Source organism: Homo sapiens, chromosome 14, assembly GCF_000001405.40.
Source record: "Homo sapiens chromosome 14, GRCh38.p14 Primary Assembly".
Classification (NCBI taxonomy): Eukaryota; Metazoa; Chordata; class Mammalia; order Primates; family Hominidae; genus Homo; species Homo sapiens.
The window spans coordinates 46,869,557-46,882,037 of NC_000014.9; the positions used below are offsets into that span (position 1 = coordinate 46,869,557).

General features: G+C 31.7%; 1 protein-coding gene across 8 annotated transcripts in view; it reads right to left on the reverse strand.

The window, feature by feature from the left end:
- Positions 1–12,481, reverse strand: part of MDGA2 (MAM domain containing glycosylphosphatidylinositol anchor 2) — an 835,983-nt gene that overhangs the window by 29,934 nt on the left and 793,568 nt on the right. For all 8 annotated transcript variants that reach the window (XM_011536519.3, NM_182830.4, XM_047431048.1 and 5 more), the window contains 3 exons: positions 7,933–7,953; positions 4,489–4,644; positions 3,877–4,035 (listed from right to left, as the gene is read on the reverse strand). In XM_011536519.3, the coding sequence (XP_011534821.1) occupies positions 3,877–4,035; positions 4,489–4,644; positions 7,933–7,953 (336 nt within the window). The remainder of the gene's footprint in view (positions 1–3,876; positions 4,036–4,488; positions 4,645–7,932; positions 7,954–12,481) is intronic.

Genomic DNA, 12,481 nt, shown 5'->3' on the forward strand with positions numbered 1-12,481 from the left:
TTTGATGAAACATTTAACTAAAAAGAAATTGTACCAATGTGGCAGAGCTCAACTCAACCTAGGTCCTAGCATGAACACTCTTGGGCATTTCTCTCCCCTTGGGTATGGGCTTGAATTATCAACTCAGTCACATTAAATGGAACCAGACAGACATATGGGATATCACTTCAGGGGTTAGGTTATGAAAAATCCTGGGCATGCATTCTCTCTCTCTTCTTAATGGATTACTTGCTTTGAAGAAAGCCTGCTGCCATGTTATGCGACAGCCCTGTAGAGATGTCCACATGGTGAGGAATTGAGGGAGGCCTCCAATCAACAGCCAGCAAGAAATCAGTATCTATAGTCCAATATCTTAAGGGAGCAAAGCCTGCCAAAAATCAAGCAAGTGGGCTTGGAAGTGTATCCTCCCCAAACTGAGTCTTCAAATTATGGTGGAGTCCTTTTCTGGAAGGACTATAACCTTAGGAGAGACTTTGAGCCAAAGGCACTCAGTTGAGCTATACTTGTATTGACCCACAGCAACTGTGAGATAATAAATATTTGTTGTTTTAAGTCACAAAAGTTTGGGGAAATTTGTTATATTGCAAATAATAAGTAATGCAACATATTTAACTTTAGTTCAAAGAGGAATCTCTTTTCTTAGTAGGGTATTGCTCATTTCTGTATTAGATAATTATGAACCTTCTCAATGGTATACTGTCCTTTAGTCACAGTTAAAAGTTCAAGATTTATTTACAATTACTCATGAAGTTATAAATTTAATTAGGCTATTAGAAATTCAGGACAAGGCATCTTTGAATCTGGATTTCCAAAAGAATGACTAAAACTGAAAATACAATTTGTAAAACCAGTGGCTATAAATGCCTCCTGAGTTTACAGATGAATGAAAGTCCGAAAATAATATATGCAAAGAGGGGATGTTTTAACTACCAGCAGATCTCTCTAATGAACTATCTCATCTAGCTTTAACTGATTACTCAATGTCTGGACCAGGTATTTTTGCCTAGATTTTAGTAAGCAGCATGCCTGCAGCTTGCTGAGAGGAACTCAAGTAATAGACCTGATACCCAGCCTGCAACCTTCAGTCTGATGAAGCAAAGAAATGACATAGGGGTCAAAATGTAAATGTTTGCCAAGAAATGGAGAACTGTCCTCCTAATTTTCCCTCATCCCAAAATAATCAGAATAAAACTAGCAGAACGTCAACTGGACATCCATTGACAATAAAGAAGATAAGACTAACAACTATTAAGTTAAAAGTATATTATAATGATGTATTAAAAGTATTTTTAAAGTATCTTAAAATTATTTTAAAGTAAAGCCCTAAAATCTAGTCTCATAAATAAGGTGAACATATTTTATGACTTTAAGTAATTCAGAATATTGGTCTTGGAAATATTTATTTAAAAATCAATTAAAATATGTGATCCAATGTAAATTGGAAGAGGAGAAAGAAAGTACATGACACATATTCAAAACAAAGAGGAAACAGAGTATACATTATTAACAAAAAGGAAGAATTAGAGTTGAGCTAATCCTACATTAGTAATAATATAGTAATCCCACAATAAATAAAATGGCTTGGCAATTATGCGATTTGTTTCCTTTCATTGGTTCTTTAAGTGATTCCCAGTCTAGATTCTGTTTCTGAATGATTTTACCTATTTTTATGTTTATTTTCCTAAATCAAATATCTCATTATGCTTTTTGATTGCAGAAAATCTAATAACTCACACCACTACTAAGTAACTGTCACATACTTAGCTAGGCTTGCAAAATCTTCCAACAAGTGTTCCTGCACAGTAATAAAACAGGCAGACTCTGTCCAGCTTCCCATGTTTGTGTTATGGCTTCACTACTTAGCCAGGTGATGGGCATGGTAACTAAAGTCCTTTGTATTTCAATTTTGTTATCTATGAAACAGGATAATGATTTTAATAAGCACAAATGTTGATCGTGAAAATTAAGAGAAATAATCCACAAAGTATCCTAGCCCATGATGAGTACTCCATAAATGTCAACTATTATTTTATTATTGCTATTATTATTGCTATTTCAGATTCAAAGTAACCTAAGATTATGAGTGTCTGCCATCTGGTTGAAGATACTATGTATGTTGCCTAATTTAACTTAAACTACAGCTTTCTGAAATAAGAGTTATTATTCTCATTTTACAGATAAGGAAACCAAGGTTCAGACATTTTAAGTGATTTCTCTGAAGTATTACAGTGATGAAGTGCTACAGCCAAGTTCCTGCCCAGGTCTCCTGACTTCAAGTTTATAGTAGTTTAACTTCTCAAAAGCTTTCTGGCTGGGCACAATGACTCATGCCTGTAATCCCAGCATTTTGAGAGGCGAAGGTGGGAAGATTCCTTGAGACCAGCCTGGGCAACATAGCAAGAGCCTGTCTCATAAAAAATAAAAATAAAAATAAATTATAAAACAAAACAAAAAAACCCAAGTGCTATCCATTTAGGCTTGTCAGTATACTGTGAAGAATACTAGTTAATACTGTTGGGTATGAGTTTGAATCCCAGCACAACCATTTACTTGGCAGTTCACACAAACTTCTTGAGGTTCAGTTTTCTCCACGGTAAAAGATGGACAGTGACGTTCACTTTTACAAACTTAATTGAGAGTATTACTTAGCTTAAATAATATGGTGGCTGATACATATTATGTGTCCAATTGTATTAGTTTACATCACATATATTTATACTATCACTTTATTAATTTATATAAAGACACTAATGTAATCCTAACTTCTCAAATTTTACTTCCTTATTACCAGTGCTTTAACCCTCCCTGTGCTAATCTCTGCGTATTGAAAACATACCTCTTTTGCATACCAGAGAAATGTTCTTGTTTGTATTGATGCAGTGACTCATTCCTCAACTAGATAAAGATCCACAATCCCTGGTTCAAGCTCTATGGGGTTAGATATACTTCATTATTTAGAATTTTGTCTTATGTTAGAAAGGTGAGAGATTATATCACTTATATCATGTGATATCTTCTGGAATGGTCTCGAGTAGAATCATATTATTAAAAACAGTAATATTTTTGCTGCAAATGGTATAAATGTCCACATTCATTTGGATAGAGACTATACATAGGTTCATATCAGTTCAGGTTATATATCAGGCTAACATGTAATGTCAAATAATTAAATTTTAAAAATTGATATTCAGTTCTCAGGATTTTAGAATTGCACATAAAGAATGGTAGACCTGCATGATCTTTTTCCCCACAGAGTTTACTAGGTCTACTCTCAGTGTAATGTCATGCTCTATCTAGCACAGTTGTGCATCTGATCTTATCCTCTATTACTGTACAAGGTCTCAAGGGAAGGAAATGTGTCTTTATCTTTGTATGCTGTGCAGGACCTAGAATGTTCTTAAATCTTACTGGGTGTGTTTGGCATACTTTAAAAACATGAAAAAAATCACACCAACGTTTCAAATATGTGGATGGTGCTAAAAATAACTGTCAATATAGCAACATGACAATATTACTTTTCATCATGATTAATATGCATTCAGTCACTGTCGAAGCATGTTTCTTCGGAAAGAAGCAGCCTAAATTATGCTGTGTCAATTCCATGAGACCTGGTAAAGAATTTAACTCATTGATTGTCTACCTGATTTAGGATTCCAAAGGGAGGTAGGTGATGATCTAAAATGTCAAATTCCAAATCTAAATTAGATGGTGGGAAAAAATTCTTACTATCTTATTTTGCAATTTGCAGATAAATCATTTAAAAAGTGAATTATAGCATTCTTTGACCAAAAATTGTTTTAATGCTGTGTGTTTATGAACCTTTTTCTTCTTAGTTATCATTAATTTTGTAAGAATCAGTAATTATTGCTATCTCACCTATATGTTGTCCATACATGTGATAAAAGAAGCTGAAACAATATGCAGTGTTTGTGGGTCCATAAGGGTTTTTGGGAGCTATGCTGAAAACAGGGCTGAGAAGTCGAGCCTTTTCGCCTTCCAATCTGGGTCGTGATGTCTCAATGTACATATAAAAACCTTAAAACAGACAAAATAAAGTGTTTAAACACATTATTCTTAGGCATAATGAAATTTCAAATCACTGAGAAGTCTTATAGTTTTCATACAAAATAAAGATGGATAGGAAGATTTGCATCTCATTTATAAAATCTCTATGTGTATATGTAACTAATAGTGGCTGTAACACAAAGAATAAATGATCTACCAAATTAAAGATAAAATGTATAAAAAGTTGAAATTTAGACTTGAATTATCAAAAAATTCCTATTCTCTCTACTATATGTATCAGTGAAGTCTGAGAAAAAATTAATGTCTACAAAGTTTTGTAAATATCTAAATTGATACTGTACAGAAAATTTAATATTTTATTCCATAATCTTCAAATATATGGCTAAATATTAGTATTTCATATTTATAGCAGTTTTTAAAAGTCTCTGATTGCTATGAACACAAAAGGTCATACCCCCATACCTTCTTTGGAGCCACTACGGTCAGCATTAGGTCCTGTATTAGGAGTATATTTTGTATTTCTTGTTGCTGTACTTTGCTTTGTCCAGTCAAAATTATCTGTATCATCTTGAGTGAACAAACAAATATTACCATCTTCAAATCCACAATGAAATTCTCCTGTTGGTAAATTTTAATTAAATTAATATTAATTAAATTAATACACATACTGCAATATTTTCATAAGAAAAATGTAAAATATTACATAGCAATAATAATGCAAGATTGTGACAATGGCATGAGAGCCATAATGGTGCAGAAGATTACAACTAAACATAAAACCAATCTAATTTTAATGAAAAAGTAAAAGAATTTTACATGTAAATTAATATCTTATTGAATAATTAAGACTCAAACAATTTTTCTCTAAAATATCCAGATAACTGAAATTAAAGAATATAATTTATGCTTGAATTATTGCTGAAGAATTTTCCCAACTTTCATTTTGTCAGTATAGAAACAATCAAAACAAAACTGTCAATTGGAAAATTACCTTTATTAATTTACCTGAGGGTAGTTTTAAATTGGTATACTTTAAGTTTATAATTTTTCATGCATGTCTAGAGATGCTTTTAAATATCCATTTGCATAAATGGAAGTGTGTTTAGGGCAAGCTAATAGCAAATTATTTTGAAAAGTATTTATCCTTCCTACTTTATCTGAATGTGGGTTTCCCAGATACTTGAACTTCAGTATGGAAATGAAGTAATTAAAAGACCTTTTAAAGACTTTGAAGGACTGTGATTTCTCGGATGCCTAACGTATGTTGAGTTCAGGGCCAACACAAGTTCAGAGAAAGACTTTTTCAACTATCCCTGAAATGTGGGTGGTAGTAGTAATGTTTCTAGGTATCAAAGGTTTTCTTACTGCTTGAAAAAAATAGGTATAAATAAGTTGGTAAGGTCCACTAGACACATTATTAAAGAGTGTGTATCCTTGAGAAAGAATAAACATAATGTATATTATTTCACTCAGCCTCATAACAACTCTGTGAAATCACAATAATCCTTACTCATGAGGCTTTACAGAGGAGAAAACTTTGGCAAAGGTCAGCTATTAAATGATAATGTCAAATGGAATCCAAATTCCCTGGAATTCATAGAGATATAAACACTTAAAGAACAGAGACTTCCATTTTAGTCTCTCTCCGACCTACCCATAAGGGGTTAGATTTATCAGATATCCTTGGAAATGGAGTCCTGGTTGAGATCATGTACCTGAATTAATTGAAAATTTTTGGTACTTACAAATAAAAATAAAACAGAAGGCTTTTCCTTTAAATTTAGGGAATGAGTTTATGTTTTGTTTTTGTTTTTTAGACGAAACACTTGCTTTATCTCTTTGTATTTATTTATATTCTATATTCTGGGTAGGTAATGTTACAGGAAATATACATATTTAAGGGAGTCTAAATAAATAACTCAATAAATTTCTGAATAAACATTATTGTACATAAAATATTTATTAGACACATATTTATGTCACAGACCTTGTACCAAACAAGACATGACCTTTTGATGCTATCAGTTGGAAAAATAATGTTGGTAACAGCAGTGTAGCAGTGTATGCATTTACATACATGCACGTATTTCTTTAAAGATATTTTAGGTATGACATGAAATTCCATTAGTTGCTACTCTGGCGGTTTGAATACCATAAAGGCAATGTTTGATTTTGAATGTTTTCAGTTATTTAATTATATATTACATATGCACAAAAAAGAGTCACAGAACAAATGTAAAGATAAAGGATTTCAGTTTATGTATCTACTGCCAAGTCTTACTTTTTATATGTTATTTAAAATTATGTATAATGAATTTTTATAACACTGTTGAACCTTTTTTTCGTAATTTAAACTTGGTTAAAAAGAGAAAATATCTTGTCTTTAAAAATCTATACAATAATTTTTGAGACCTAAATATTTAAGTCTTTCATAGTAAAATTAAGCAATAATGCAGCTTATGAAAACTACAAAAAATGTCAGTTGTGCCTAAAATTTTTCATCGTTTAGGTTATTTTATATGGTGTAAGTTGTTTATAATATTATAACTAGTGTAATAATTCAAATCAAACAAAGATACTTAAGCAACATCAATAGCTCTCGATTCCTTCTAAGGACATATATCTTTACAATAAATAAGCCTATTACTGAAGAAAATTTATAAAAAGTTGGCAGGTAAAATGAAAATAAAACTCACTAGTCAAAACCCAAGAATTTTATGATAGTCCTGTCACTTTAAAAAGAGACAATTATAAATATGTGCAAATACATTTATTCATTTAAAAAGTTTATTAGAATAAAGAATATCTGATAGATAATGATAACGCAATGAGCTGTACAAACTTTTCAAAAGTCAATGTAATATAAAATACTAAAAGAGTAATAAGTATAAATAAGTAATAAAGTCCAGGATTTTCACAAAGATATAGAACTGAGAATCAAGTGGATCTTGAATTTTCCACTGGTTTTCTAATTACAACATGATTTTAGCAGAGTTTCTGGGGCTACATAGAAATAATTAAACATATCTTAAATATTCTCCATTACGTGGTCTTCAAAATTTTGCTTTATTTGGTCTGCAGAATTTTCCCTGAATCCTTCTCAATATGATGAAAAAACAAAACAAAAAAAAACTCAGGAACAAGAATCCTGATACCCAGTGGTCCTTTTGCACCCAGAGACGATGCTCTTTAGTCCTTAAACTTGTAAGAAATCTAACCTTAAATTACAAATAAATAGCTCTGATTTTAGAATATGTCTTCATAGTAAATCCTCTGTTGATTTAATATTATTTTCCAGGGAGAGAGAAGTTTTCATATATGGGAATATTTTTCAGGTAGATACATATCATCTTATAACATTTAATATAAAACAAAATAAAAACTTTCCAGAAGTCCCCAAATTTAACAATTTTATAGAATTCATAACCTAAATTAGACCAAATACATTGGAGTGTAAACTAGTGTTCTATAAAAGAAAGTCTCAATTAAACCCATCAAATACCAACTTTCTAAGTAACCATACTCTTTTATAAGTGGAATATAGACATTCAAAGAAGGAAAATCAAAGAAACGTGTAACAACGATAAAAATGATATGCAATCCCACAAAAGAAAAAAATAATCCCACAGCTGCAGAAATAGCAAATATTAAGCAGGTTGGTAAATGGCTCCATATTTCAATATTTAGGAAAATCTATAAACCTCAATTATCAGTATTAAAAAATTGTATTTATACTCCTATCCTTTGAAATTTAAAATCTACATTTAATGCCAATTTTACTGATTCTGAACAATTGTGTTTTAAACCAACTAAGAATAGTTACTAAACAATTTTTGTATATTTATAAACATTATATTTTTGTATTTATTAAATATAGTGCCATTTTGTAAGTTAAAATATACTTACTCAAATGAGGATTTACAGGAGCTACAAGAAAAGCAAAAGAAACAAACAAACAAAAAAACAATGTTAGCATGGCTTGAATGTCTTTTATAAATAAAAGTCTAATCAGTGTCTCATAGTTCCTTACCAAAACTTAATGATCTTTCCCACTGTGGCCATTGAGATTTATATCTGCAATCCATTTTGTTTTAGAGGATTGAATATAATCTGCTTTGGAGCTCAGCAATAACAGCCTCAAATTACCAAAAAGACCAATGCTAAATAGCACAGGAAATGTTCCCTTTTCAAGGTATAGAGTTTCTGACCTCTTAAATATCTGAACTAGTGCTAAACAAAAATACTCAGATATCAAAACTGAGGCTGAAACTAGGCCAATCTATAATCTAGGTGATTTAAAAATGAAAACAATTATCTAGCAGAGTTTCCACTTTTGTTTTTTGCTGTTTTCTACTTCTACTGAGAGTAAAGTAGAAAGTTCATGGCACAGATGAAAATAAAGCAATCCTGATATCATGTTGTAATATGTGTACTAAAATGAATAGCTACATCAATGCCTTTTTGTTTAATTACAGTAAAATATACACATACATATACACGTGTGCATGCACACAGAATTTTAAAATGATGAGCAATACATTTTCTGTTCTGGGGTACCAAAAGAATTTTTTTTCCCCTAAAACTAATTATATTTGCAATACAAGTGCCAATGAATTTCCACCCAAAGAGAAATGAATACTTTAAATATTACTAACACAACAACAAAAATATCTCTCATCTAAGGGCCAAATTTGTATCTGTATATATCAATTAACCACTTATCACTCTGAGAAAATATTCCAATCTGGATGAAGGACAGCATTGATGTAATTCCCCAAGATTACAATGGGCAGAATGTAGTTTCCCAGGATTACAATTGGCAGTTAATTTACAGTGCAGAACTTATCTGATTTGTCATTTTCTTAGTGGTTGTCATTAACCACTTTTGTTAAATTTGTGCAACAGTAATAAACTCTGACGGGCAAAAATATTCATATATAATTGCAACATTAGTATACAAATGATAAATTTTAACAGAGTAACTTTTTCAATGATTTCCACTATTCCTACATACAGAAGACAATTCCCATTACTGTAGTTGTTTTTCTGATTCTACATTCCACATTGCAAATTATGAAAAGAATAACAGAAAAGGAACTGAAAGTGAACTAAAAATAACAATTTAATTTTTTGGCAAGATATCCATGTATTTTAATTTTAAAATTAGTAAAAATTAAAATTATTTCATAGTTAATATGAAATTCTTAAAAAATTATGTGCTATCTTTCAAAGATGTAAGCGTCCTTGAATTATAACTTAGTTCTAAGATATGTTGTATGTACATGTAAAGCTCTTACCAGACTGAATTTTAATTGAGACTTTGCCTCCAACATTTAATTCACCAAATTCACTATACATAATGCAGTTAACTTTGTGAAAATTTGCACAAACTTCTAAATAGTTCAGCGAGTCCAGTTTTTTCTTCTTTCATTTGAACTTGCATGTATAATTTTTTTATAAATGCATATTATAGACAATTGTGTCCCCATAAAAATGCATATGTCAATGCCTAATCCCCAATGTGATTGTATTTGGGGATAAATCCTTTAGGGAGGTAATTAAGATTAAATTAATCTTGGCCCCAATCCAATGGGATTGGTGTCCTTATAAGAGGAGGAGGAGACACCAGAGAGCTCTCTCTGCCATGTGAAGAAGACATGGTGAAAAAGTGACCATCTATAAATTAGGAAGAGAGCTCTCACCAGAAGCTAACTATGCCAGTGCTTTGATCTTGGACTTCTCAGCCTCTAAAAGTGTGAGAAATAAGTTTGTGTTGTTTAAGCCTCCCACTATGGTATTTTGTTATGGCAGCCCAAACAGACTAATACATTGCCTCTAAACCATTAAAGTATACATTGCCCAAACCTATATCACATAAAAATAATTTTAATAAAAATGTTGGAGATCTGAATATGTATGCCTAAGTATGTAAAAACAATTTTGAAAACTTATTATTAAAAGTAATATCTATTTCCTGCATGTGTTTTTCATTTTAGTTTGTTGCCTCAGAGTTTTCAATAACCACTACTAAGCTAATTAACTTTTTAAAATCTCTTAAGGAAAGTCATAATGATCAATTAACTTTAGCAAAGAAGTAAAGATCTTCTCTAATGGAGTGGTGAACCCTAATTCTAGTCAGGTTTGTCATTTCACAGTCATTTAACTTTGCAGGACACTGAAACTTTCTGGGTCCGAATATCTTCATCTTTTAAAGATATTGATATTAATGCACTCTACATTATACATCTTATTTATTTGGTAAAAACTGTAAGTACAAACAACTTTAATGAGTTGTTAATAGTTTTACTTCATATTTCACGTTTGACAGTATTCACTACTTTCCCCTTAAGCAGGAAACGTATACTTAAGGGTAAACACAATGGAGTACTTCAGCTGCAAACAAAGCATTCTATTATCTTTTTAACTCAGGCTCTGATAATCAGTGATAAAAAGAATCACGTTTGGCCGGGTGCTGTGGCTCATGCCCGTAATCCAAGCACTTTGGGAGGCTGAAGTGGGTGGATCACCTGAGGTCAGAAGTTTGAGACCAGGCTGCCCATGGAGAAACCCCCTCTCTACTAAACATACAAACATTAGCTGGGCGTGGTGGCAAGTGCATGTAATACCAGCTACTGGGGAGGCTGAGGCAGGAGATTCACTTGAACTCAAGAGGCGGAGGTTGCAGTGAGTTGAGATCATGCCACTGCACTCCAGCCTGGGAGACAGAGTGAGACTCCATCTCAAAAATATATATATAGTAATAATAATATTCTACTGAAGCAATACAATAAATATGAACTGTTTAAATAATGATTCATTCAAACCTGAAATACATTGAAAATTCTACAGCTAACACTGAATATTAAAATTCTAAAATGCACACAAATTTCAATTTTTGAAATATTTATCTCTTTAGTATACAGTAAAATAACATATCTAGGCTGAGTGCAGTGGCTCATGCCTGTAATCTAGCACTTTGGGAGGCCGAGGCAGGTGGATCACCTGAGGTCGGGAGTTCGAGACCAGCCTGACCAACATGGAAAAACCCCTTCTGTACTAAAAATACAAAATTAGTAGGGCATGGTGGCACATGCCTGTAATCCCAGCTACTCGGGAGGCTGAAGCAGGATAATTGCTTGTACCCAGGAGGTGGAGGTTGCGGTGAGCCAAGATTGCGGCATTGCACTCCAGCCTGGGCAACAAAAGCAAAATCCCGTCTCCAAAAAAAAAAAAAAAAAAAAAAAGAAAGAATAAATATATCTAATTGCCATTGTTTCTCTTTGAGATATTAATTCTAGATAAAAGTTTTAGATCCACTTTTAACTTTTTCAAAGTTCTGCACTAATTTCTATTTTTCTCCAAATAGGACATTTAAGTAGTGAAGAAATATTTTATGCATATAGTTAATAAAAAGAAAACTATCACTAACACACACACACACACACACACACACACACACAAACATTTAGCATTTTTTAACATTAGCAATATGAAAAATGAATGGCCACCAACAACCAAGACCAAAATCCGGCAACTAAGATGTCTTTTGATATGTATATAAATAAACTGGTACATTTATGCAATGGAGATTATTCAATGATAAAAAGAAATGTGCTATGAAGTCCCAAAAAGGCATACAGAAATCTTATGTATTTCTAAGTGAAATAAGGCAGTCTAAAAAGCACTACATGCTGTATGATTCCAAATTTACAACATTCTCGAAAAGGAGAAACTATAGACAGAGTAAACATATCATTGGTTGCCCGGACTGGAGAAAGGAGAGATAAATGGGTAGAGCATGGGAACTTTTCAGGCAGTGAAACTATTCTGTGTGATACTGTAATGGTGGAGAAATTATATACACTTGTCAAAATCCATATAACTGCACAACACAAATAACTGTAATGTATAATACTGATTTTAATAATAATTTCTTAGTAGTTGTTAATCAATTTTTACCAATGTACCACAATAATGTAAGACGTTAATAATGGGGATACTGTGTCAGGGAGACGGGGCTCTGTATACTTCCTGCCAATTTTCTGTAAACCTTAAACTGCTCAAAAACTGAAATCTATTAATTTTATTTAAAAAACAGAAAATGAATTTTGATCTTTTTTTACTTCTTAAAAAGTTTTAAAGTCATCAAGAATTTGAAAAGATAAAATGCAGACAAATATTGTATTATAACTTGTAGGATCAAAAATAAAGAAACATTGCTTATATCACATAGGTTCACAATTAACTAAATTATTCTATATCTCTACATTTGTAATCAAATGTCACATTTATGGTGATTAAGGTTTTTGTTTTTGTTTTTTTGTTTAGTTAACTGGCTAATGATCCAGAAAGTCAATATGCTAAGTTTTACTTTGTGTCTAAATTTGGTAGATAGCAGCAACCAAAATTTTCCATATAGTTAAATATATAAATAAATAATTTTAAATGAAAGGCT